Genomic DNA, 25,120 nt, shown 5'->3' with positions numbered 1-25,120 from the left:
CGGTAGGCCGGGCGCGGTGGCTCACGCCTGTAATCCCAGCACTCTGGGAGGCCGACGCGGGCGGATCACGGGGTCAGGAGATAGAGACCATCCTGGCTAACACAGTGAAACCCCGTCTCTACTAAAAATACAAAAAATTAGCTGGACGTGGTGGCGGGCGCCTGTAGTCCCAGCTACCCCGGAGGCTGAGGCGGGAGAATGGCGTGAACCCGGGAGGCGAAGCTTGCCGTGAGCCCAGATCGCACCACTGCAGTCCAGCCTGGGCGACGGAGCGAGACTCCGTCTCAAAAAAAAATAAAAAAAGTGTGATGGTAAACCTTGTGCATCAGATGTTCTAGTTCGTCCTCCAGAAGGCAGAAACTTAGAGTCATGCAAACTAGGTCAATTTGCAAGTTCATATGGACCAAGAAGAATCAGGGACAAAACTCCATGAAGACAGGTTTGGCTCTGACGTCACGCTGCATGAACAGCACGCTTCGCCCACGGTGGAGCAGGCACGACTGCTGACGGCCGGCTTCTGATGGAACGTTTCAAGGGTGAGGAGCTCCAGGGAGTGTCTATCATGGCGTAGAACACACGGTTCCCACATCCTTATTAGAATAGAAGGCACATAAATACCTTTCAAGGAAATCTGTTGTGACTGGCGAGGCTTCAGGCACCAGTCCCTCGGGTGATCCAGATAGAAACCCCAAAGCCAAAAGCTCTGCACGCTCCCAGCTCACCTCCAGCAGGAGGGACACAGGGGCTTGCTTGGGGTCGCCAAACAGGCTCACCGGGTGGTCTTGCCCCCACCGCGTCTCTAGCCTGAGGCCCGGTCACTCCTGGAAAGGGCGTTCCTTCTCGTCACACTGTTGGTGGCAGCTTCATCCAGCGTGCTTTCATCTGATCCTCTGAGGGGGGAGGGCAGACAGAACTTTCCACAACATGAGAAAAGGCAATCTTCACATCAGAGGAGAGCCTGTCTCCAGTGTACAACGTTTCGTCTCCAGGCTTCACGTAAACAAGCCAGAAAAAACGGCCTGGCTCCTCCCAAGTGACCTGGAATTCCAACTGTCCATACCTTTCCCTGAGTCCCTAGAAATGCAGCCACGCTGGGAGCCGACCCCCCTCAGGGTGTCTGCAGGCCCGGGCCTGGCTAGAGGCTCCAGGGCCACTCCAGTGTGTGACTGGAGAGGTGGTGTACCCGAGGCGAGGGGCCCAGGGGGCAGGGGAGGGGACAGGGGGTGCACCTGGGTACCAACGCAGGTCCAGGAAATTTCGCCAGGCAGGGACCCTCCGTCAGCGCCGCTTCTCCAGCAGCATTTTTCCTTTTACTCTTTTTATTTTATTTTTTAAATTTTTTATTATTATTATTTTTAAGATGGAGTCTTGCTCTGTCGCCCAGGCTGGAGTGCAGTCGCGCGATCTTGGCTCACTGCAACCTCCGCCTCCCGGGTTCAAGAGATTCTACTGCCTCAGCCTCCTGAGTAGCTGGGATTACAGGCGCACGCCGCCACATCCGGCTAATTTTTGTATTTTTAGCAGAGACGGGGGGTTTCTCCATGTTGTCCAGACTGATCTCGAACTCCTGGCCTCACGTGATCCACCCTCCTCGGCCTCCCAAAGTGCTGGGATTACAGGTGTGAGCCACTGCACCCGGCCAGTTTTAAATTTTTTTAAAGCAAAGGAGTCTCACTATGTTGCCCAGGCTGCTTAAACCCCTCGCTTCAACTGACCCTCCAGCCTTGGCTTCCCAAAGTGCTGGGATTACAGGCATGAGCCACTGTGCCCAGCCCTCCCATAGCATTTGGCCAAGGCTTTGCACCTAGAGGTGTCTAATATGTTTGCTGATTTGATTTCGTTGGATGCAGATCAGCCTAATGATGCGAGGCTGTTGGTGGCCCAGCTCTCCTCTGCCCCTGCAAAGAGCTGCTGGCCAGTCTTGGTTCTGTCCTCATTCAGGCCTTTAGTGACCACCTGCAGGGTTTTACCAGCATTATGGGTTGACTCATGTGTCTCCTTAATTAACGTTGAAGTCCTAGCCCTCAAGACCTCAGAATGTGACCGTTGTTTGGAAACAGGATGCTTGCAGATGTCACTGGTTAAGATGAGGCAATACCCAACTATAACTGGTGTCCTTATACAAGGGGGTGATGTGAACAGTGACAAAGGCTGGGAGAACACCATGGAGATGAAGGCCGAGATCGTGGCGATGCTGCTAGGGCCAAGGACACCAGGATTGCTGGCGGCACCAGAAGCTGGGGAGAGGCTTGCGACAGACGCTCCTCAGAGCCTCAGGAGGAACCTGCCCTGCTGAAACCCGGATCCCAGATTTCAGCCTCCAGAGCTCTGGGACGGACCGTCTTTTTTTTTTTTTTTTTTTTGAGACGGAGTCTTGCTCCATCCCCAGGCTGTAGTGCAGTGGTGTGATGTCAGTTCACTGCAACCTCCACCTCCTGGGTTCAAGCAATTCTCCTGCCTCAGCCTCCCGAGTAGCTGGGACTAGAGGCGCCTGCCACCACACCCAGCTAATTTTTGTATTTTTTTTTCCCGAGACAGAGTCTCGCTCTGTCGCCCAGGCTGGAGTGCAGTGGCGCGATCTTGGCTCACTGCAAGCTCTGCCTCCCAGGTTCACGCCATTCTCCTGCCTCAGCCTCCCAAGTAGCTGGGACTATAGGCGCCTGCCACCATGCCCAGAAAATTTTTTGTATTTTTTAGTAGAGATGGGGTTTCACCGTGTTAGCCAGATGGTCTCGATCTCCTGACCTCGTGATCCACCTGCCTTGGCCTCCCAAAGTGTTGGGATTACAGGCGTAAGCCAACGCGCTTGGCCTTTTTTTTTGAGATGGAGTCTTGCTCTGTCACCCAGGCTGGAGTGCAGTGGCACGATCTCGGCTCACTGCAAGCTCCACCTCCCGGGTTCACGCCATTCTCCTGCTTCAGCCTCCTGAGTAGCTGGGACTACAGGCGCCCGCCACCACGCCCGGCTAATTTTTTTTTTTTTTTTTTGTATTTTTAGTAGAGACGGGGTTTCACTGTGTTAGCCAGGATGGTCTCAATCTCCTGACCTCGTGATCCACCCGCCTCGGCTTCTCAAAGTGCTGGGATTACAGGCATGAGCCACCGTGCCCGGCCTAATTTTTGTATTTTTTAGTAGAGAAGGGGTTTCACCTTGTTGGTCAGGCTGGTCTCGAACACCTGACCTCAGGTGATCCACCTGCCTCGGCCTCCCAAAGTGCTGGGATTACAGGGTTGAGCCACCACGCCTGGCCAACCATCTGTTTTTTAAGCCACTCAGTCTGTGGTCTGTGAAGACAGCCCCGGCAGACTCATCCATCCAGCTTCAAGTGCTGCAGTGCTCCTAGCACAATCGATCGCTGTCCCTGACAACAAAGACCTCCCTGGTCAACTCTGTGTCTGTGTCCCATCCCATCCACTTGCTCATGTCCTGTAGTCCAAGCCCTACTTTGGACCTCCACTGGGGCTGTTGCAAAAGTAAAGGCAGCCAGCAATGAAGAGCCTGTTGGAACACGAGTTTTAAAAATTCCCTTGGCTGGGCGCAGTGGCTCACGTCTGTAATCCCAGCACTTTGGGAGGCCGAGGCGGGCGGATCACAAGGCCAGGAGTTTGAGACCAGCCTGGCCAATATGGTGAAACCCCGTCTCTACTAAAAATACAAAAATTAGCCAGACGTGGTGGTGCATGCCCCTGTAGTCCCAGCTACTCGAGAAGGTGAGGCAAAATAATTACTTGAACCCGGGACGCAGAGGTTGCAGTGAACCGAGGTTGCGCCAATGTAGTCCAGCTTGGGCGACAGAGTGAGACTCTGACTCAAACAAACAAACAAAAAAATTCCCTTGGCTGTGCTTCTAGAGGTAAGATCACAGGGGCCGGGGCAGAGAGAGCACACCACCCAGGGTGTGATGGTCCCTGAACGTGGAGAGCAAACTGGACACCACCTTAAGTGTGAGTATGTGTGTCAAACCTGGAATGCAGAGACACTATGCAGGGTGAACCCATGAGTGTGTAGGGAATACCCTGTCCCCTGCAGGTGTGTGAGGCAGGGGAGCCAGGCACGTGGAGGAAAAGTCGCAGGACTGACTGAGCAGGAGCCTGAGGCACTGAGATCCCAGCCAAGGATGCCTGCGGGGTTTCTGAGCAGGAAGCAGCACCATCAGAGTCATTTTTTTTTTTTTTTTTTTTTTTTTTGAGACAGAGTCTTGCTCTGTCGCCCAGGCTGGAGTGCAGTGGCACGATCTCGGCTCACTGCAACCTCCGCCTCCCGGGTTCACGCCATTCTCCTGCCCCAGCCTCCCAAGTAGCTGGGACTATAGGCGCCCGCCATCACGCCCGGCTAATTTTTTGTATATTTAGTAGAGACGGGGTTTCACCGTGTTAGCCAGGATGGTCTCGATCTCCTGACCTCATGATCCGCCTGCCTAGGCCATCAGAGTAGTTTTGGGAAAACCACTGAGAGTGAGGCAAGCCACGCTGGAAGGTGAAAACTGACAGGTAGGGAGATGGAGGGGCTAAGGCCTGTTTCACCACAGCACGGTGGACCTGTGCTTCTGCAGATGTGGAGGGGGTGGCCGCCCCTCACTTTCCAGGAGGTAGAGAGCAAAAGCCCTTCCAATGACCTTGGTACCTACTGTGCCCTTGATCTCGCGTTCCTAGCTATCTCATGGGTTCTGCACCGGTGCCTCCTCCTGCCCTCGGTAAGGCACCTTCTAGGTCCAGCTGTGGGGCAGGGAGCGACAGGCAGGAATGATCTGACCCCTTTGGCCGGGCACGGTGACAGATGGGCTGAAAGATGAGTCACTAAACATGATCTGGGGTGCGGGGCGGGGGTGCAGCTCAGTTTCAGCCCCTCGCGCCGGGGAGGATGACCGTGCAGCTTTATATAGCCCCTGAGCCCTATATAAGCAAGTCAGAGGCCGGGGCTCGTCCGACAGGAGCCCTCAAGCTGATCTGGTCGGGACCGGATACATTATTAACCCCAGTGCAGTAGGGTCCCCAGGGGCAACCTGCCCCACAGCGCCCAAGATGCCTAGCAGAACTGCCCGCTATGCCCGCTACAGCCCACGGCAGCGGCGGCGGCGGATGCTGGCTGATCGCAGCGTGCGTTTCCCTAATGATGTCCTGTTCTTGGACCACATCCGGCAGGGTGACCTGGAGCAGGTGGGGCGCTTCATCCGGACTCGGAAAGTCTCCCTGGCCACCATCCACCCCTCAGGTGAGCAAAGCCTGGAAGAGCTGGCCAGGGCCTGTGGGGTGGTGGGAGAGGCCAGCAAGGAGGACCTGACCTGGGGCTCAGTCTTGACCCCTCCCGTCCTCCCTGCCCAGGCCTGGCCGCCTTGCATGAAGCCGTGCTCTCTGGAAACCTGGAATGCGTGAAGCTGCTGGTCAAATACGGGGCTGACATTCACCAGCGAGATGAGGCGGGCTGGACACCCCTGCACATTGCCTGCAGCGATGGGTACCCTGACATAGCCAGGTGAGGGGGCCCTGGGTCTACACAGGCTTGAACCCGACCCCTCCGGGCCTCAGTGGGTCCCCAGGATGGGAGCCCCAAAATGTAGCCCGGGTGGTGTCGGCAAGAACCCTAGAGGCTGGGGGCGGTGGCTCACGCCTGCGCCTGTAATCCCAGCACTTTGGGAGGCCGAGGTGGGCGGATCACCTGAGGTCAGGAGTTCGTGACAAGAACCCTCTCACTACTAAAAATACAAAATTAGCCACGCGTGGTGGCGCGCGCCTGTAATCCCAGCTACTCAAGGCTGAGGCAGGAGAATCACTTGAACCCGGGAAGTGGAGGTTGCCGTGAGTCGAGATCATGCCATTGCACTCCAGCCTGGGTGATAAGAGCGAAATTCTGTCTCAAAAAACAAAAAAAACAAAAAAAGAACCCTGCAAACCCTAGAGGCTTCTGGAATCCTGTTTCTGCCTTTGTCCTCAATAGAACCAACTTGAAAAGCTGGCCACAGCTTCCAAAGGGTCAGGTTTCTTCCTCCTCACCCTACCCGGACCTTAGGACCCCAAGGTGGGGGACACACAGGTGACCCCAGGACTCTGGCCCTCTGACCCGGGTTGGGGCGAGCACTCTCCTGGCTCCTCCCCGCTTCAGCCAGAGCGACCTTTACACCCCAGGTACCTTATCTCCCTGGGAGCGGACAGGGATGCAACCAACGACGATGGCGACCTGCCCTCCGACCTCATCGACCCGGACTACAAGGAGCTGGTGGAGCTCTTCAAAGGGACCACGATGGACTGAGCCAGCTTTGCCCGCCCGCCCCCGCGCCCAGGGCCGCCTCCCTGGAGAAGCCGCGCGTCGCCCATGGGCCAGCACGTGCCCCACCCGTGGGCCAGGGGCGGCCGGACCCGTCCCTCCACGACCCCGCCACCCCTCCTAGGCCTGGCTTTGTCCCCAGGTGAATTTTTTACTGTGACACTTTTTACTTTTTCAATAAACGTGACTCCCAGGTGAGGGGGCCTGGGTCTACACACGTGGTCCCTGTGGTGGTGTCCTGATTACTGGGCTCTGGCCGCTCCCAGTGGCCGGCGGCGCTCACCGTTCGGGCCAGGGAGGTCCGGAGCTTCCGCCACGAGCCCCAACCCCGCACGGGAATCCCGGCCGCCCCCGCCCTCCGCCAGCCGGGCGGTCACGTGAGAGCGCGCTGCGCCTGCGCCTGTGCAGCCCGCGGTGGCGTCACTTCCGGCGGGGCCTCCCAGCTGGAAGAGGCGGTGGCGGCGGGTCGGGGCGAGGTGAGGCGGGTGCGGCGCCGGGCGGCGGGGACGGGGCGGGGCGGGGCGGGCGCGGCTGGGCCCCGCCCTGGTGTCGCCGCGCGGCCGCGGGTGCCCTGCAGGGCCGGGCGGGGCCGGGCGCGGGGGAGTGGCCGGGCAGCCGGGGTCCGAGGGAGGGGCCCGCGTTCCCCGCCCGGCACCTGCAGGAGGGCGCGGCCCGCGGGGCGCCTGGGAGCGCGCGTGGGGAGGGCGCGGCTCGGACTGAGCGCCTTTCCCGCCCAGGCAGGGGCAGGTGCCGGGGACCCAGCGCCGCCGGACGCTCGCAGCGGGCCAGCCTTCTGCCGCCGTCGGGGCTTTGGGGCTGACAGAGCCCCGCTTTCCCGGTCTCCTGGAGGGACCGTGCCTGAGGATGCCTCCGATTCTCGGAGCGCCGCGGGCCCGGCCGTCCGCATTCTTTTTCTGTCCATTTTTCGGCCTTGCCCTCTTTCCCGTCTCCCCGGGCGGTGATGCTGGGCCTAACGGGGAGAACGGGGCCTCCGCCTGCCTTCTAGGCACTCACTGGGCGGTGGTTGTGACCGCGGGGGCGGGAGCCATACGGGGCACGGGCTGTGCTTCTCTCCCTCCTGCCCCTGGGTAGCCGTCGCAGGAAGGTGGTCTTTCAGCTGGATCCCCAAGGATGAGTAGGATAGTTTTGGGCAGAGAAGACAGCTTGACCAAAGGCCCTGAGGTGTAAACAGGGACCAGTGAGTGGACTTTGGGTGGGATGTGGCGAGAACGTGTAGAGAGGGTGGGAAGTGGGACGTGAAGGAAGAGCCAACAGGGCTGGATTTGGGGCGAGTCAGGGGAGGTTGTGGTTTGAGTGGGATCAGGATGGGGAGGAGGGCGCACACGCTCAGGCTGTTGCTGCCACCACCCAGGGGAGAGGGTGAGGAGGTGGTGCAGCGCTTAGAGGCTTTCCCTGGGCGGTCTTCAAGGGACCACGAGGTGCCAGTGTGGCAGCTGTGACAGCCGTATCCTCGTGCGCCTGCTTGGGCAATAGATCATTTTCTAGCCTCGTTGGCTGAAAAAGACACAGAACACGAAGAGAAAGTGGAGTCTTAGAAACTTTGAATCTCAGAAACTCCGGAGGAGCATGGTGACTAGCGATGGCGTCACTGATTCTAACTCTGGAACCTCACTATTGTCACGTTGCTGGAGTGTTACCTCATGGCCTGTTCTTAGGCATGTGGCTGTGTGGGGGAAAGAATTTGGGACTGGGAGGCCAGAGACTGGGGTTCTGTCCCCTCCCCACCTGGAAGTCTCTAAAGCCCTTGGGTCCCCTGGAGGAGGAAGGTTCTACATAGTTCTACCCAATGCGACTCCCCTCCCTATCTGGAGGGAGGGCCAGTCTCTGAGCAAAGCCACATGGGTATCAGTAGGGAGTGGGTCTTTCAGGGAGTCCAGAAACCTGCTGTAGGGTGCAGGCAGAGTGGAGGCAGACTTTGGGAGGCTCAGGCCAGCTGCAGCATTCGGGCTGAGCCCCAAATGCTGTGGCCCCGGAGGCCCTGGGAGGGGCACCGCTGCTTGGTGGCAGGCTCCTTCAGCGCTGAACTGGAAGTTCTCAGGGTATCTTTCTGGTCCAGCTGTGGGGATGTGGGCAATGTGTGTAAGGGCCCAGCGTGGTGGCTGCCCTGCCCTTAGCCCGACAAGTGTTTGCTGTGGCTGGTGGCAGTCTCTTCTTTCAGTCCCCAGTGCTTTTCTGGGCCTCCACCTTCCTAAGAGTGGGCTGACTCTACATTCCAGTTTACCCAGAAGAGTTGTTTCATTCTTGATAATCAACAGCATCCCTTTCGTTCTTTTTTTTTTTTTTTTTTTTTGAGGGCAGAGAGCAGAGATGGGGCCCTTTTTTGTTTGTTTGTTTGTTGTTTGTTTTGAGATAGAGTCTTGCTCTGTCTCTGTTTCCCAAGCTGGAGTGCAGTGACATGGTCTCTGCTCACTGCAACCTGCGCCTCCTGGGTATAAAGCGATTCTCCTGCCTCAGACTCCTGAGAAGCTGGAATTACAGGTGCATACCACCATGCCTGGCTAATTTTTTTTTTTTTTTTTGAGAGACAGAGTCTTGCTCTGTTGCCCAGGCTGGAGTGCAGTGGCACAATCTCGGCTCACTGTAACCTTTGCTTCCTGGGTTCAAGCGATTCTCCTGCCTTAGCTTCCCAAGTAGCTGGGACTACAGGCATGTGCCACCACGCCCAGCTAATTTTTGTATTTTTTTTTAGTAGAGATGGGGTTTCACTGTATGTTGGCCAGGCTGGTCTCGAACTCCTGACCTCAGATGATCCTTCCACCTTGGCCTCCCAAAGTGCTGGGATTACAGGCATGAGCCACTGCGCCTGGCCTAATTTTTGTATTTTTTTTTTTTAGTAGCAATGGGGTTTTGCCATGTTGCCCAGGCTGGTCTCAAACTCCTGACCTCCTATGATCTGCCCACCTCAGCCTCCCAGAGTGCCAGGATTACAGGCGTGAGTCACCGCACCTGGTCGAGATGGGGCTCTTTCTATGTTGCCCAGGCCAGTCTTGAACTCCTGACCTCCCAAAGTGCTAGGATTACCACCACATCTAGCCCCTTTCTTTTTTCTTTTTTTGAGATGAAGTCTCACTCTTGTCCCCCAAGCTGGAGTGCAATGGCGTGATCTTGGCTCACTGCAACCTCTGCCTCCCGGGTTCAAGCGATTCTCCTGCCGCAGCCTCCTGAGTAGCTGGGATTACAGGCGACTGCCACCACGCCTGGCTACTTTTTGTATTTTTAGTAGAGACGGGGTTTCACCATGCTGGCCAGGCTGGTCTCGAACTCCTGACCTTAGGTGATCTGCCCACCTCAGCCTCCCAACGTGCTGGGATTACAGGCGTGAGCCACCACGCCTGGCCCCAGCCCCTTTCATTCTTAACAGCATCCAGTTGAACCATACAGCACATGCTTGTCCTGTCCATCATCGTATTGGATAAGGAGCCACAGAGACCTCACTGAGCTGCTGGCTTTCCATGGCTGTGCTTCCGTCCCTATTGGAGCAGGCGAGCCTACCTGTGGGCTGCATCACTTTGAATGAGGATGCTGAGGCTCAGAGGAGCTTGCCCGGGGCCCCAGAGCAGGGGAATACCTGCAGCCCAGTAGGCCAGGCCCTGTAGGCTGGACGGCCACGGAAGCAGGCAGTCACGTCCTGCAGAATGCACAGACTTGCAGGTGGCCTGTGCTCTGTGTGGCTGGTGGCAGGTAGTCCTGTGGCAAAGGCTGTTGGGGCAGGAGTGGAGCAGCAGGTGACACCTGGTAAAACAAGTTGGGACTGGACAGTGGGCTTGATGGCAGCAGAGGGCCTGGGTGACACCCTAGTGCTAAGTGACTTGGGGATAGGGTTTCAGGAAGATCATGTAGACATCTGTGTCCACCTGTCCTGATGCTGGGTGTCTGGAACTGGAGGTTGTCCCAGCACTGGGTGGGGTGGGGTGGCGTGGGATGTGGAAGACTTTGAGGGGAAGGGGAGAAAACACCTAAAGACCATGTAGCCTGAGGGGCTCTGGAAGGGTGGTCCTGGGCCAGGAGAGTGTCATCGAGGGTCCTCCCATGTGAGACCCCAGCCATTGTGAGCTGCGCTATATTTTACAGTACATTGAGAAATAAAAACCACCATTGGTTAAATTCTGACGTGTTAGCAATTGTCAGGCGCAGCCCAGTTTCAAAGATGTTAAAATATGAAAACTATGAAAGAAAACTCTCAGAGGCAGTGGGGTGTGGTGTAGCGACTGAGGAGTACGGGGCCGTGGCCGGGACATCGGCATGCTCGGTCTTGATTCTGACAGAAAGAGGGAAGGAAAACGGGACCGAGGCATCGCCTGACCCTCCCTTACTGCTGTCACCCTGGTGGTGGCCCAGGTGGGATGAAGGCAGGGGGCCGGGCTGGATGGGGTCTCGAGACCTCTGAAGTGGGGCTGTCTCTCTGGGCTGAATGGAGCCCCTCCCTCCCACCCTTCACCTGTGGTCGGCCTCGGTCAGGCCGCCACTCCCCTTTACCTGGGCAGCTGAGGTGTCAGTCTCCTGCTGGCTCAGGGGCTGCCACCTCAGGTGGCCGTCTGCCGTGTGCTGGGTCTTTTCCGGCTGCCCCCGGCGCTTCTCTGGGCCTGTGCCATTGTCCCCTGCTCACTCTCACCCACTATGGTCCTGGGTCCCTCCACATCCACCACCTCAGGGACCCCATGCATGGATGTTGTGCCTCAGGGTTCCCTCTGCTTAGCCAGACACCAGCCTGCTGCCCACCAGGCCTGAGCTAGGGCTGAGCTGCCTGCCAGCCACACTTCCTGCCCTCCCCCCTCAGCTGTGTGCCTCACTATGCTAGGCCGCCCCGCTGAGGTTGTTGGAGGCCTTATTGTGGCTCCATGGTGACCTCTTGGTTCAGAGCTTGCTTGACCTCCAGCCCTCTCCGTGGATGGCTCCTTCCTGCCCTCACAGGCACCGTCCTGGCCCCGGCTCCAGTTATGTCCATGCCTCGGCCCTCTGCAGCTTCCTCCCATTCCATGTGTCCCAGGGCCTGTCTGTGGCCCCTCAGGTCCTGCTCTTGTGCTTGGTGTCCGTCTCTGCGTGGGGGCTGTGGTGCCCCCTCTGGCTGCTGATTCCCTTATGGGAATAGGCCAGGTGTGCATTGCTACCCTTCTGCGGTGGCTCTTCCCTTTGGGTAATTACGAGTGAAATTCTCCAGCTGTCCTTGTACGCATCTTGGGTGTGTGTACCTAGGAGCAGAATGGCTGGGTCATAGGTTGTGCACAGATACTTGATTTTTAATGGAAAATTCCTTCTGGGTCAGAATTGGGCACCCAGCTCCTTGGCAGGGCCCCAGGAGGCAGTGAGGCTGAATGAGCTGCAGAACCGTTTATTGTGCTTCCAGGGGGACAGCAGGCCCCTGGCCTCTTGGAACTGCTGGCACATCCAGGAAAGCCTGGGGCTATGTGTGCAGGGTCGGGGGGTGGGGGGGCAGTGTGAGGCCCTGGGGGTCCCTAAGCTGGAGGAAGAAGTAGGGAGAGGTGGGAAGGGCTCTTCGTGTCTGGGAAGACTTAGAGGACACAGCCTGTGGTATTGAGGGTGTGGGTACATTTCTTTTCCTAACAAGAGGAGGCAAACGAGACTCCTTGTTGACTTAAAAAACTGTATGGGTGCAGCTGGGTGTGGTAGCTCACACCTGTAATCTCAGCACTTTGGGAGGCCGAAGCAGATGGATCACGAGGTCAGGAGATCGAGACCATCCTGACTAACACAGTGAAACCCCATCTCCACTAAAAATAGAAAAAATTAGCTGGGCGTGGTGGCGGGCGCCTATAGTCCCAGCGACTCGAGAGGCTGAGGCAGGAGAATGGCGTCAACCCGGGAGGCGGAGCTTGCAGTGAGCCAAGATCGCGCCACTGCACTCCACCCTGGACGACAGAGCGAGACTCCATCTCAAAAAAAAAAAAAAAAAAAAAATGTATGGGTGCACAATAGGTGTATATATTTATGGGGTTTTAAATTTATTTACTTAGAGACAGAGTCTCCCTCTGTCACCCAGGCTGGAGTGCAGTGGTATGATCATGGCTCACCACAGCCTCCACCTCCCAAGCTCAAGCAATCCTACCACCTCAGCCATCACTCCTGCCAAAGTTTTTATATTTTTGTAGAAATGGGATTTTGCCGGCCGGGCGTGGTGGCTCACGACTGTAATCCCAGCACTTTGGGAGGCCCAGGTGGGTGGATCACAAGGTCAGGAGATCGAGACCATCCTGGCTAACAGGACGAAATCCCGTCTCTACTAATAATACAAAAAATTAGCTGGGCGTGGTGGCGGGCTTCTGTAGTCCCAGCCACTTGGGAGGCTGAGGCGGGAGAATGGCGTGAACCCGGGAGGCGGAGCTTGCAGTGAGCCAAGATGGCGCCACTGCACTCCAGCCTGGGCAGCAGAGCGAGACTCCATCTCAAATAAATAAATAAATAAATAAATAAAAGAAATGGGATTTTGCCATGTTGCCCAGGCTGGTTTTGAACTCTTGGGCTCAAGTGATCTGCCCTCTTTAGCCTCCCAAAGTGTTGGGATTACAGGCCTATTTTAATAGGCCAGCAACCGTACCTGGCTTTTTTTTTTTTTCTTTTAGACGGAGTCTTGCTCTGTCGCCCAAGCTGGAGTGCAGTGGCACGATCTCGGCTCACTGCAACCTCCGCCTCCCAGGTTCAAGCACTTCTCCTGCCTCAGCCTCCTGAGTAGCTGGGACCACAGGTGCCCACCACCACATCCAGCTAATTTTTGTATTTTTAGTAGAGACAGGGTTTCACCATATTGGCCAGGCTGGTCTTGAACTCCTGACCTTGTGATCCACCCGCCTCGGCCTCCCAAAGTGCTGGGATTACAGGCGTGAGCCACCACGCCTGGCCTTTTTTTTTTTTTTTTTTTTGAGATGGAGTCTTGCTCTGTCGCCCAGGCTGGAGTGCGTTGGCGCGATCTTGGCTCACTGCACCTCCACCTCCCGGGTTCAAGCGATTCTCCTGTTTCAGCCTCCCGAGTAGCTGGGATTACGGGTGCCTGCCACCACGCCCAACTAATTTTGTATTTTTAGTAGAGACAGGGTTTCACCATGTTCGCCAGGCTGCTCTCAAACTCCTGACCTCAGCTGATCCACCCGCCTCTGCCTCCCAAAGTGTTGGGATTACAAGCGTGAGCCACCGTGCCTGGGCTTTTTTTTTTTTTTTGACACAGGGTCTTGCTCTGTTGCCTGGGCTGGAGTGCAGTGCCACGATCTTGGCTCCCTGCAGCCTTGACCTCCTGGGCTCAAGCAGTCCTCCCACCCCAGCCTCTGAGTAGCTGGGACTACAAGTGCATGCTGCCACACCAGGTGTGTTCATATGGGTGTGTGCCGCATGTGTGTGGGCAGGTGTGTACAGACAGGTGTGTGCGGGCGGTTGTATGCATGTGTGTGGCAGATGTATTCAGCTAAGGTGTGTGCAGGTAGGTATGTGTGGGCAGGTGTGTGTGTGTGTGTGTGTGTGCACACAAGGCAAAGGGAGCCCCGGAAGGGTAGTTGCTTGGGAGGATGTGGGGCAATCAGTGGGATCTGGGGCAGGAGTGACAACCGAACCCAGCAGGGGGATCCCAGGCCAAAGGTGTGGCTGCATAAAGGCCAAGTGGCCACTGGAGGCAGAGGATGCATGGGGAGAAGAGCCACGGGAGAGGGCAGGCTGGGAGGCAGGTACCCCTAAAGCAGCAGTCGGTCAGTGGTGAGAGCCAGCAGGGGGCGAGGCAGGGGGCTGGCCAGTCTACCTGTTACCTGAGCTCTGCCTTTCTCTGTAACGGGAGCTTCCCAGCAGGCAGCATGTCCCTGTGGGACCCTCAACCCAAACAGGCCTTTCCCTCCGTGCTCTGGTGTTCGTGGGCTGGAGTCCCTGGCAGGAGGACTGGGCAGAGAGACCCCAGAGTCCAAGAAAGGAGAGGTGACTTTGTGAGCAAACTGGGTGCTGCCGTGGGTGGGGAGCCCCTGGCCCTTTTTGGACCTCACTCCTGGCCTGGGATGGGGCACAGAGTTCCAGGGCTGGGAGCTGGTTTTCTGCTCTTTGCTGGTTTTGCCCTTGAGCCGTGGGATTCTTATCACGTGGTGTTTGAGGGCTGGACCATTGACATGAGGCGGAATGAGCCAGAGAGGACTCGAAGCCTCAGTGCTCCTGGCCCTCTGTGAGGGCTGCAGCCGTGTGCCCTGGAGTATCTGCAGCCTTGGGCCTCTGGGTGGGCAGGGGAGTTGCTTGTGCTCAAAGCCCCCTCCTGGGAATCCTGGGACTCCCCTCCCCCAGAACCTGGAGTTGCCCCCTCTGGAGCAGGGCAGGCTGGAGACCAGCCCTGTCAGCTTCCCCACCTTGGGGTTGTGTGTCCTCAGCTGGAGTGGGGACACTGTCCAGCCTGCCAGTGTGAGCGTCTGAGCCTCAAAATAGACTCCATTTTTCCAGAGCCGTGGATTCCCCTGGGCTGGGAGGCCATAAACGGGCGGCAGCCCAGGGTCTTGGTCACCAGGTCAGGCCCAGCAGCTTCCTCCAGGGCCACCCCCTCTGCCCACCAGGGGAGCTGGAGTTTGGTTCCATCTCCAGGGTACTGATGTGGCTCATGCTCTAGGGAACCAGGAAGCTGGACCTGGGTAGGTGCCGGGGAGCTGGGATCACCTTTAGGAAGCTCATCCCCGTTTTACAGAAAGGAAATCAAGGCTCAGCAGAAGCCGTGTGCCCAGCCCTGCACCAGGGAGAGCAGGGTCAGTTAGCTGAGGGGCTGCAGGCCCTCTGCTGCAGTGAGAGGCAGCTGGACATCAGAGATGCTGACGGCCCCACCAGCCCACGTGGGGAGGGGCTCTGGCCACAGTGCTCCCGGTGCTGGGGCTGAGGCCTCCACGTCTGAGCCTGAGACGTGGAGGATCAAGGCCGCTGAGCGGGCTTGATCGCTTCAAGTTGTGTGTGTGTCTGGCTCGTCTGGCCAGCTCTCTGCTACCTCGTAGGGTTGCCTGGAGCCCACTGGCTGCCTGTGGCTGGACCCCAGCCTGTGGGGGACACCCTGGTAGGCAGAGGGACCATGCACTTTGTTCACATCTGAAGGGAGGAGGCAGGTGTGCCCTGCGCCTCCCCCTCCTTCTGTGCTGGAGAGGGTGGCCCTGCGTCCCATGCCTGCGCTGGCTTCTGTTTCAGAGGCTGAGGGGATCTGGCGGTGGAGCGCTAGGATCAGACGCCCCCGCGATGACCAGGTGGGTCTCAGGCAGGTGGGCTGGTCTCCACCGGGGCGGGTTGTGGGCTCCCACCCTGCTGTGTGCCCTGTCTCATGCGCCAGGCTCCCCCAGCTCCCCCGTCTCCAGAGTCGTGTACAACGGCAAGAGGACCAGCAGCCCCCGCTCCCCACCCAGCAGCAGCGAGATCTTCACCCCAGCCCACGAGGAGAACGTCCGCTTCATTTACGAAGGTGGGTGCGCCTGCCACACACAGCTCCTGCCCTGTCCTTGACGGAGTCAGCTCTGCCCCCAGCCCAGGACCCACGCTCCGAGGAACCTCCTGCGGCCCCTGCCCCTGCCCCTCCAGGGCACAGATAGCCCCATCACTGTGTCCACAGCCTTCAGGGCCCAGGCGGGTAGGGGTGGCCGAGGGGACCTTGTGTAGAGAGGAGACCTGGTTCTGATCATGGGGGGAGCCCGGGAGGAGGGGCTGGGGGTGGGCCATGCCACAGATAGAGGCCGCACTGGGAGCCAGTCATCCATGCTAGCAGCACTGGAGGAGTTTGCTGGGGAAAGGGAGGGGCCTTTGAAGACAGACAGGCACGCATCCAGCCATGAACGGGCGTGTTGCAGAAGTGGCCGGGAGGTGGTTGTCTGGGATTAGGGGAGTGTGCCGTGTGCTGGGGCCGGGGAGGTGCGTGGATGAGGTGGGAAAGATAGAGGCCTAGCTGAGGAGGATGCGCTGCCTCCGAGGCGCAGGGAAGCCTGGGGTAGGGTCATAGGGGTCCCTCTGACCACAGTCCTGGTCATCTTGCGGGGAAGGGACAGGCCTGCCAGAGGAGCGGGGACGGGGTCTGCAGGTGAGTGAGGCTGGGGTGGGCAGAGGGCTGTGGGGGAGCATGGAGGACACTTCTGAGGGAGAAGAGGATCTGGGAGGGCAGGAGCTGAGGGCAGGCACTCTCGTGACGTGGATGCCACCCCCTGGGGCAGGGGGCCCTGAGCACACCACTCTCTGCCTCTGCAGCCTGGCAGGGTGTGGAGCGAGACCTGCGAGGCCAGGTGCCGGGTGGCGAGCGGGGCCTGGTGGAGGAGTATGTGGAGAAGGTCCCTAACCCCAGCCTGAAGAGTGAGTGGGGGCTGACCTGGGGGCAGGGCTGGGCCGGCAGGCCGGGCCTCATGGGCAGGAGGGGCCTGTGCCCACCACCTACCGCGTTGTCCCCTGGCAGCCTTCAAGCCCATCGACCTGAGTGACCTGAAGCGCCGGAGCACGCAGGATGCCAAGAAGTCCTAGAGCGCCCGGTGCCCCTCCCCGGCCTCCGGAAGATCAGGGTGCGAGGTGTCGGTTCCCTCCTGTCCTGTGGTCCTGCCCCTGGGATGGGGGTGCCTTGCTCCAGCGGGCTGCAGATCCCAGCACTGGCGTGACTGACGGCTGAGGCCTGCCTCTCCTTCCCAAGCCCCCTTCCTTCATCCTTGGGGGTCTCAGGCTGCCCCCATCATGGGGGTCTGGGCCCTGCCCACCCTCCTGCCCTCCCCCAGCCACCTGGCTGCATTTTTGAAGCTGCCTGGCCCCCAGGGGCCCTGACCTGACCTCTCTCCTCTCCCCTCACCCTCCTGCCCCTGGCCACTGCAGGATCAGGAGGGGAGAAGAAGGAGCCTCTGCTGCCTCCCAGGCTGCTGGGACTGGGCTGGTTTTGTCCTTGAAGTGGTCAGGATACAGGACAAGGGCAGCCCCACCCCATCCAGCCTGGGCTCCCCGCAGACCCTTGCTGCTCCCGTGGCCTGGACACGCTGGGGAGCTTCTCACACCTACCCCTACCGTCCAGCCTGGCCTCTTCCCTGAATCAGCTTCAAGATGGCACCAGCTCTTTGGGCCTAGGATACTGCCGGGCCCCCCAAGGGGGTCCCCAGCAACCAGGCCTGGCCTCCTGGTGTCTGCGGTCACAGTGGCCCCTGGGCAGGGGCACCCAGGCTGACCCTGAGGTGCTGCTGCTGGGTCTGTCTTGGCTCTGGGGTGTGCTGGGAGGGTCACCAGGTCCCTTTTCCTTCCTGTGCCCTCTGAAAGCTAAGTGTCTGTGTGGCTGTGGAGCTCGAGGGTCTGTGAATAAAGGCGGCGGCACTGGGCGTGGCCTCTTGGTGGTCTGTCAGGCCTCTGCCCCTGCGGCACACATGCACAGCCAGCTCCCGGGCAGGGCTGGAAACCCCAGATCATGGCGAAGGCTTCTCAAGCCCAGAAATTCTCAGTCTAAGCCACTGGGCGTGCTCAGGTCTCCTAGGGCAGGTGGTGGCAGGGAGGGCATTCTGGAGGGAGAGGCTGGGCTGCCTGATATCACTACCCTTGTTCTGCCACAGGGGCTGCCCAGGGGGCCGCAGAGGTAGTAGGCACCACCCTGAACCCACCCTCTGGGGCACTGTGGCCCCTCTAGGAGCTGGCTCCTCCCCTGTCCAGAAGAAGGGGGTGCCGCTGGGCCCAGGAGAGAGCCACGTGCACTTGACCTTCAAACCTGCAAGCTGCCCTGGCAGGCCAGACAGGGAGCTCTATTCCTGTTCCTGTTGGAAGCGAAACCAGAATTTATTCCAGGAACACGCTTTCCCAGAAGAGTGGCCCCACAGGCGCCTCCTGGTGGGTGGGCTGGTGCAGGAGATGCTGGCGCAGGGCTGGCCTCCCCGGGGAGGAGGAGCAGGGGAGGGTGTTCCAGTAATAAACCAGCCCAGCTGCCGCCTGGCAGCCAGTGTGCACAGCAGTACCCAGCCCCGAGCCAACTCCCTGTAAACACACGGCCTTACCTGGCCCCCATGGGGCCTGTGAGTCCTTCGAGGAGCGTTTCGAGTGCCCACCAGGCTAGGGTGACCCAGGCTGCCTCCCCCTGTTGAGCCGATGCAGCCTGGGGAACACCACCACGGGGATGAGGGGCGGGCGGCTCACAGCGGTCCTCATGCCATGTGCCTTCCACTCACCGAGCCTCTTGGGGACAAGGCCCTGCCCTGTGCACCTTCTGTACAGTGGTAGCTGCAAGGGCCAGCAGAGGTCCTGCAGTGGGGGGCCCACTCAAACATGGGGTTCCCAGATTCCCAGGAGGAGGAGGGGTGGGCTTGAGCCCTGGCCAGGCCATTGCTACACCGTGGCTGTGAGCAGGTTGGAGTCAGCCTTGGTTTCTTCAGGTGGTGATGACTACATCATGGGTGGCGCAGTGCTTGGTGCTGCTACCCCCACGAGTCACCGTGTGGGTGCACTTGACAAGGTGCTGAGCCTCACACAGCAAGCGCGACCCTCAGCCTTCGGTGGGGAGTCTGGGCTCTGCAGTCTGGGGCCTGGCACACGGCCAGCCTGCCTCAATTTACCCCTCTGGGTTTTCTGGTTTTTGGTGTTTTTGTTTGTTTGTTTGTTTGTTTTTGAGACGGAGTCTTGCTCTGTCACCCAGGCTGGAGTGCAATGGTGTGAGCTTGGCTTACTGCAACCTCCACCTCCTGGGTTCAAGCGATTCTCCTGCCTCAACCTCCCGAGTAGCTGAGACTACAGGCGAGCGCCACCATGCCCGGCTGACTTTTTGTATTTTTAGTAGAGACAGGGTTTCACCGTGTTAGCCATTCTCCTGACCTTGTGATCCACCCTCCTCGGCCTCCCAAAGTGCTGGGATTACAGGCGTAAGCCACCGTGCCCAGCCTTTGGGTTCTTTTTTTTTTTTAAGCAAATTTATTAAAGAAAAGGGGCCAGGTGCGGTGGTTCACGCCTGTAATTCCAGCACTTTGGGAGGCTGAGGCGGGCGGATCACAAGGTCAGGAGTTTGAGACCAACCTGGCCAATATGGTGAAACCCCATTTCTACTAAAAATAGAAAAGTTAGAGCCGGGTGCGGTGGTTCACGCCTGTGATTCCATCGCTTTGGGAGGCTGAGGCGGGTGGATCACAAGGTCAGGAGATTGAGACTATCCTGGCTAACACGGTGAAACCCCGTCTCTACTAAAAACATAAAAATTAGCTGGGTGTGGTGGCAGGCACCTATAATCCCAGCTACTCGGGAAGCTGAGGCAGGAGAATCACTTGAACCCGGGAGGCGGAGGTTGCAGTGAGCTGAGATTGCGCCACTGCACTCCGTCCTGGGCAACAGAGCAAGACTCCGTCTCAAAAAAAAAAAAAAAAAAAAGAAAAAGAAAAAAATAAATAAAAGAATGGCTACTCTACAGGCAAAGCAGTAGTTTATCCCTCTGTACAGAGTGTGGGCTGTGGTGATCCAAAGGCCTCTCCCCTGCATGGGTGCTGGGACCCCTGTGTAGCACACAGGAGGTGCCGAGGGAGCTCCTTGTGTTAAGAGATGGACCTGATTTGGGCTCACCTGGGTCATCTTACACTGGGCCCTGGAATCCGGGCCTTGCCTACCTACAGCCGGGGGGTGGAGCTCCCCCAGGTATGGCCCCAGCACCTGGGCCTGCCACCAGAAACCTTCAATTTGGAGATCTTTCTGCCAAGAACCCTTCAGAGGAGGGGGCCGGCCTGGCCAGGCACATGCTGGGCAGGAGGGTAGGAGTCTGTGGGGAGCGCTGAGCCCACGGTGTTGCTGGAGGCCCCACCCCTTCACCCGATGCACCGCGTGGGGGATGGGGATTGGGGTGAGGAGGGGGAGGGGATTGGGGTGAGGAGGGGGAGGGGACGCGGGAGAGGGGGCCTAACCTACCTGAGGGCTGGGGAGGTGCACCCACCGGGACCGGACCTCTGACCCTGAAGCAAACTTGCCCTCCCATCCCCTCTTCGGTGGACCACCCAGTGAGGTCAGCTCTGCAGGGGCCACAGGGTGGTCTTACCCCAGCCGTTCGCCTAATGGTGTGAGAACTCACTGTAGTCACAAAGCGGGGTCTCTACTTTCAGCTTGAGGAGCACATAAAGGGCTGCTAGAGTGGGCACCTCTCCCCTGGGCTGCGGGAGCTGACCGTGGGGCCCGATCCCAGAGGGTTGCGGTCCTCCCACCCCAGCCTGTCCTTCAGCCCTGCTGCCACTGCCTTGTCCATGCAGGGCACCAGGGCCCTCCGACCCTCACCCAATCCTGGAGGCTGCTGGACTAAGCAGCTGGAGACACTCCCCTTTCTGCAGTGAGGGCGACTTGGGGAAATGAGGCAACTGCAACTGTTGCGTGTTGTACCGTTGGTGTGCATACACACATCACAATCTGCTGTGTACTGTTGGTGTGCACACACATCACTATCTGCTGTGTAGTGTTGGTGTGCACGCGCATGTCACTATCTGCTGTGTACTGTTGGTGTGCACACACATGTCACTACCTGCTGTGTAGTGTTGGCGTGCACGCGCATGTCACTATCTGCTGTGTAGTGTTGGTGTGCACACACATCACTATCTGCTGTGTAGTGTTGGCGTGCACACATATGTCACTATCTGCTGTGTACTGTTGGCGTGCACACACAAGTCACTATCTGCCGTGTAGTGTTGGCGTGCACACACAAGTCACTATCTGCCGTGTAGTGTTGGCGTGCACACACAAGTCACTATCTGCCGTGTAGTGTTGGCGTGCACACACAAGTCACTATCTGCCGTGTAGTGTTGGCGTGCACACACAAGTCACTATCTGCCGTGTAGTGTTGGCGTGCACACACAAGTCACTATCTGCCGTGTAGTGTTGGCGTGCACACACAAGTCACTATCTGCCGTGTAGTGTTGGCGTGCACACACAAGTCACTATCTGCCGTGTAGTGTTGGCGTGCACACACAAGTCACTATCTGCCGTGTAGTGTTGGCGTGCACACACAAGTCACTATCTGCCGTGTAGTGTTGGCGTGCACACACAAGTCACTATGCTGTGTAGTGGCGTGCACACACAAGTCACTATCTGCTGTGTAGTGTTGGCGTGCACGCACATGTCACTATCTGCTGTGTAGTGTTGGCGTGCACGCACAAGTCACTATCTGCTGTGTAGTGTTGGCGTGCACGCATATGTCACTATCTGCTGGGTACTGTTGGTGTGCACGCACGTGTCACTATCTGCTGTGTAGTGTTGGCGCGCACGCACAAGTCACTATCTGCTGTGTAGTGTTGGCGTGCACACATATGTCACTATCTGCTGTGTACTGTTGGTGTGCACGCACACATGTCACTCTGGCAACTCCATGGGGCAGGTTTTAGTATCCCAATTTACAAGTGAGGAAACAGTGACCTCTTTCAGGGGGGTTAAGCTCTTATGAAAATTGTAATTAATACTTATTGAGCATGAACAATTTCCTAATAGCCGATATACCCAGCTCCCATTTCCCAAATGACTAAATTAATAGGTTCCTGGTGGGTTGCTGGCAGCATGGGAAGGCGGCGCCCATGTGTCCCGAGCCTCCATCCGTAACATGCCCCTCTTTTTCCACCATTCGTGTAAGGACCCCTGGCGTTTGACAGTCGTGTACCCCACATTCTGCCTTTGGCCAGCTGCATCTCTGTGGTGTCAACAGACCCCTGTTTCCCCTGTACTTCTGTAAAATGAGGTGTGGTGCAGAGGCCTCATCGGATTCATAGGAGACTTCGGGTGTCAAAGCATCTGGCTGCTGTGTGGGAATGGGTTGCAGGGTCCGGGGTAGCAGCAGGGGTCCTGTTAGGAGGCTTCTGCAGTGGACAGTGGGAGGAAGAAGCTGGGGACAGGGTGAGCAGCTCGGTGTGGACATCCAGCTGTACATGCCGAGCTGATAGCTGGGTCTAAAGCGTGGATTCAGCAGAGCCCCAGGTCGGGGGAGATAGATGAAGAGTTAGCTGAGCACTGCTGGTTTTTAAAGATTGATCAAGAAGAAATGAGGGTGGTGCCTGGTTCCTGGACACAACAGGGAGAGAAAGAAGAAAAAGGAACAGTGGAGGGCAGGGTCAGAGAAAGAGCAGGCAGGGGAGGACCCGGGGCTGAGTGAGTGCAGGGGGAGGACCCGGGGCTGAGTGAGTGCAGGGGAGGACCCGGGGCTGAGTGAGTGCAGGGGGAGGACCCCGGGCTGAGTGAGTGCAGGGTGTCTGGGGATAGGCTGAGCCAGCTCACGTAGTGGACCTGCAGCCCTAGCCATCTCCCACCCACCTTGCCTAGAGATGACCACTTTGTTTTTTTGTTTTGTTTTGTTTTGTTTGAGGCGGAGTCTCACTCTGTTGCCCAAGCTGGAGTGCAGTGGCGCGATCTCGGCTCACTGCAAGCTGCGCCTCCTGGGTTCACGCCATTCTCCTGCCTCAGCCTCCCGAGTAGCTGGGACTACAGGCGCCCACCACCACGCCTGGCTAATTTTTAGTAGAGATGGGGTTTCTCCTTGTTAGCCAGGATGGTCTCAAACTCCTGGCCTTGTGATCCGCCCGCCTCAGCCTCCCAAAGTGCTGGGATCACAGGCGTGAGCCACCGCGCCCGGCCCCGAGGTGACCACTTTGAACTCTTCACCTCATTCTTTGCATTTTTAAATTTTGCTCTGTATTTTTATTTCTAACGTGAATTATTCTTGATTTTTCCCATTTTGTTCTCTCCCCTACCCCCAGTACATACGTGATATTCCCGTCCACCACCCTCCCTAGATCTTTTTTCTCCCATGATTCTGGTTGCATCAGTGTTGGTGTTTACATTATGATGTCTGTGTTTGTATTCAGAACTGAGTCATGGTAAATTCTGCTTGTTTTGTTCTTTTCTGCCCAAATTTTTCTTTTCTTTGGAATTATTAATTGCCTTCTTTTTTCATTTGCTTGGTTTTTTCTTTCTTTTTTTTTTTTTTTGAGACGGAGTCTTGCTCTGTCACCCAGGGTGGAGTGCAATGGCACCATCTTGGCTCACAGCAGCCTCCGCCTCCCAGGTTCAAGCGATTCTCCTGCCTCAGGCTCCCAAGTAGCTGGGACTACAGGCGCCCGCCACCACGCCCGGCTAATTTTTGTATTTTTAGTAGAGACGAGGTTTCACCATGTTGGCCAGGCTGGTCTCGAACTCCTGACCTCAGGTGATTCGCCCGCCTTGGCCCCCCAAAGTGCTGGGATTACAGGCATGAGCCACTGCACCCAGCCTCATTTGTTTAGTTTTCTATGTACTAGTCACTAATCAAGTCCTGAACTCTCTCCTCTAAATATTAGTGCACTCAATCCCTTTCATCCCCTTGAGGGTGTCTCTGCTGAGCCTTCTGTCTGGCTCAAGGTCCCCTATTCCTGTGACGCACTTCTGACTCTCCTAGATTTGGTCCTTCATGTAGTTCATGTCTTCCTTTTTCCTGGTCTCCACTCTCATTTTAGTAGTATTTTTGTGTCCACAGACACCAGATTCCAGGGTATCAAAGTCATCTTCCTCCCAGCCATGCACACACAGCACCCAACTCTTGCAGATACCCCTTTGGGATGCCGGGCATCACATACCTGCCTGTAATCCCAGCTACTAGGGAGGCTAAGGCAGGAGAATCGCTTGAACCTGGGAGGCGGAGGTTGCGGTGAGCTGAGATCGCGCCATTGAGCTCCAGCCTGGGCAACGAGAGTGAAACTCCGTCTCAAAAAAAAAAAAAAAAAAATTAGCCAGGTGTCGTGGCACACGCCTATAATCCCAGCTACTCAGGAGGCTGAGGCAGAGAATCACATGAACCTGGGAGGTGGAGTTTGCAGTGAGCCAAGATCATGCCACTGCACTCCAACTTGGGCAACAGAGTGAGACTCTATCTCCAAAAAAGAAAAAAAACAGTCCCTCCACCTACCTGCCTGCAGGACTGCCTGGTTAGGGCCAGTGTTTATTGCCTGGGTGAGTCCACCCCCTGCCAGTCCCCAACTCCACCCAACTCCACCAGCCTGCTCCAGTTCCCTTAGGGATGAGGGCGGGACAGAGGTGAAAGAGGACAAGGGCAGAGGGACTCGGGAATGGGGAGGGCTGTCAGGAGGTCCCAGGTGAGGGGCAGTTTCCCCAGGGCAGTCACCAGCCCTGAGCTCAGCTGGCATGAAGGAGAATGTCCACCTCCGTGTGCTGACTCGGAGCAGCCTCGTGCCCACACAGGCACCCGGGCATCCAGGGCTCAGAGGAGAGCCAGGACCTGAGGCCGGAGGGGCGTAGAGCTGGCCTGAAGCCTTAAGGTCTGAGATCACAGGCCTCCAGCAGGTGCAGCTCAGGGGACCGTCTCCTGGCCTTGCCGTCCCAATCACAGCAACCCCAGGGCCCCAGAAGGGTCCAGCCTTGCCTAATCAGCTCACTTCCCTCCCTGCTGCATGCAGGCCCTGTGGTGGGTGGCAGGGTGAGGGCCCCCCCAGGAGGGCCCCAGTGCCTGGCGGGTGAGTAATTCTATTTACCTTTCCTCAGAGGCCTCCTGTCCCCTCATTTGCCCCAATTAGTCCGGCTCTGCCTGAGCGGCTCCAGCCCACGTGGCCCAGGCAGGGGCTGTGAGCACCCCTTCCCCCAGGGCCCAGCAGCACTTCCCAGCAGCTCCTCAGAGCAGGGGCACCTGACTGGCTCCTTCCCCAGCCCATGCACACACCTCAGTAGGTCTCACAGTGCCTGCTGCAGGGACCCCCCGGGGGGCTGACCACAGGCCCCTCACAGCTTCTACCCTGAATTTGTCTCCACCCCCGCTGTGTGGTCCCTGGGCCCTTAGACTCAGGTTGGGCCCCACACAATGGGAGACCCCACCCTGAAGCACCTCCTGTGTCCAGCACGCAGGAGGCAGCTCTTTCCTGGTGCTCCCTGGCTGGCAAGCAGGGCGCCCACCCACCACGAGGTGGC

At 57.9% G+C, this 25,120-nt stretch overlaps 2 protein-coding genes across 9 annotated transcripts, besides 11 other annotated features; both read left to right on the top strand.

Moving 5' to 3' along the window:
- Positions 4,629-5,141: an enhancer, noted in NCBI's record as "H3K27ac-H3K4me1 hESC enhancer chr17:79792711-79793223 (GRCh37/hg19 assembly coordinates)". NCBI's record gives its function as "activates a minimal SCP1, AML or CMV promoter by ChIP-STARR-seq in primed H9 embryonic stem cells {active_cell/tissue: H9 hESC(primed)}" and the evidence as "EXISTENCE:reporter gene assay evidence [ECO:0000049][PMID:30033119]".
- Positions 4,926-6,484, top strand: PPP1R27 (protein phosphatase 1 regulatory subunit 27). Its single transcript, NM_001007533.4, has 3 exons — positions 4,926-5,212; positions 5,323-5,473; positions 6,124-6,484. The coding sequence occupies exons 1-3, from the start codon at positions 5,023-5,025 to the stop codon at positions 6,245-6,247; spliced, it is 465 nt and encodes a 154-aa protein (NP_001007534.1). The 5' UTR covers positions 4,926-5,022; the 3' UTR covers positions 6,248-6,484.
- Positions 5,142-5,654: an enhancer, noted in NCBI's record as "H3K27ac-H3K4me1 hESC enhancer chr17:79792198-79792710 (GRCh37/hg19 assembly coordinates)". NCBI's record gives its function as "activates a minimal SCP1, AML or CMV promoter by ChIP-STARR-seq in primed H9 embryonic stem cells {active_cell/tissue: H9 hESC(primed)}" and the evidence as "EXISTENCE:reporter gene assay evidence [ECO:0000049][PMID:30033119]".
- Positions 6,168-6,681: an enhancer, noted in NCBI's record as "NANOG-H3K27ac-H3K4me1 hESC enhancer chr17:79791171-79791684 (GRCh37/hg19 assembly coordinates)". NCBI's record gives its function as "activates a minimal SCP1, AML or CMV promoter by ChIP-STARR-seq in naive H9 embryonic stem cells {active_cell/tissue: H9 hESC(naive)}" and the evidence as "EXISTENCE:reporter gene assay evidence [ECO:0000049][PMID:30033119]".
- Positions 6,168-7,066: a biological region, named in NCBI's record as "NANOG-H3K27ac-H3K4me1 hESC enhancer GRCh37_chr17:79791171-79791684".
- Positions 6,277-6,396: a silencer, noted in NCBI's record as "silent region_9152". NCBI's record gives its function as "represses an Ori minimal core promoter by ATAC-STARR-seq in GM12878 lymphoblastoid cells {active_cell/tissue: GM12878}" and the evidence as "EXISTENCE:reporter gene assay evidence [ECO:0000049][PMID:35858748]".
- Positions 6,507-7,066: a silencer, noted in NCBI's record as "silent region_9151". NCBI's record gives its function as "represses an Ori minimal core promoter by ATAC-STARR-seq in GM12878 lymphoblastoid cells {active_cell/tissue: GM12878}" and the evidence as "EXISTENCE:reporter gene assay evidence [ECO:0000049][PMID:35858748]".
- On the top strand, positions 6,685-17,615 carry MCRIP1 (MAPK regulated corepressor interacting protein 1). 8 transcript variants are annotated; one of them, NM_001288798.2, is made up of 7 exons: positions 6,685-6,738; positions 13,461-13,596; positions 15,422-15,477; positions 15,571-15,689; positions 16,463-16,564; positions 16,665-16,767; positions 17,069-17,615. In NM_001288798.2, the coding sequence occupies exons 2-6, from the start codon at positions 13,582-13,584 to the stop codon at positions 16,727-16,729; spliced, it is 357 nt and encodes a 118-aa protein (NP_001275727.1). In that variant the 5' UTR covers positions 6,685-6,738; positions 13,461-13,581; the 3' UTR covers positions 16,730-16,767; positions 17,069-17,615. The 8 variants fall into 8 exon arrangements, with proteins under 8 accessions (NP_001275727.1, NP_001087236.1, XP_047291870.1 ...); NM_001093767.3 differs by lacking the exon at positions 13,461-13,596; XM_047435914.1 differs by lacking the exons at positions 13,461-13,596; positions 16,463-16,564.
- Positions 7,708-8,221: an enhancer, noted in NCBI's record as "H3K4me1 hESC enhancer chr17:79789631-79790144 (GRCh37/hg19 assembly coordinates)". NCBI's record gives its function as "activates a minimal SCP1, AML or CMV promoter by ChIP-STARR-seq in naive H9 embryonic stem cells {active_cell/tissue: H9 hESC(naive)}" and the evidence as "EXISTENCE:reporter gene assay evidence [ECO:0000049][PMID:30033119]".
- Positions 8,222-8,735: an enhancer, noted in NCBI's record as "H3K4me1 hESC enhancer chr17:79789117-79789630 (GRCh37/hg19 assembly coordinates)". NCBI's record gives its function as "activates a minimal SCP1, AML or CMV promoter by ChIP-STARR-seq in naive H9 embryonic stem cells {active_cell/tissue: H9 hESC(naive)}" and the evidence as "EXISTENCE:reporter gene assay evidence [ECO:0000049][PMID:30033119]".
- Positions 13,391-14,024: an enhancer, noted in NCBI's record as "H3K4me1 hESC enhancer chr17:79783828-79784461 (GRCh37/hg19 assembly coordinates)". NCBI's record gives its function as "activates a minimal SCP1, AML or CMV promoter by ChIP-STARR-seq in naive H9 embryonic stem cells {active_cell/tissue: H9 hESC(naive)}" and the evidence as "EXISTENCE:reporter gene assay evidence [ECO:0000049][PMID:30033119]".
- Positions 15,695-15,918: a silencer, noted in NCBI's record as "fragment chr17:79781934-79782157 (GRCh37/hg19 assembly coordinates)". NCBI's record gives its function as "represses an EF-1alpha promoter that drives an FKBP-Casp9 reporter gene in an ReSE screen in HepG2 liver carcinoma cells {active_cell/tissue: HepG2}" and the evidence as "EXISTENCE:reporter gene assay evidence [ECO:0000049][PMID:32094911]".
- Positions 17,889-18,183: an enhancer, noted in NCBI's record as "tiled region #4607; K562 Activating DNase matched - State 5:Enh, and HepG2 Activating DNase unmatched - State 5:Enh". NCBI's record gives its function as "activates a minimal TATA promoter and a strong SV40 promoter by Sharpr-MPRA in K562 cells, with weaker activation in HepG2 cells {active_cell/tissue: HepG2 | K562}" and the evidence as "EXISTENCE:reporter gene assay evidence [ECO:0000049][PMID:27701403]".

Source organism: Homo sapiens, chromosome 17, assembly GCF_000001405.40.
Source record: "Homo sapiens chromosome 17, GRCh38.p14 Primary Assembly".
Lineage (NCBI taxonomy): Eukaryota > Metazoa > Chordata > Mammalia > Primates > Hominidae > Homo > Homo sapiens.
The sequence above is the reverse complement of the archived record's forward strand: the minus strand, read 5'-3'. Positions and strand labels throughout refer to the sequence as shown.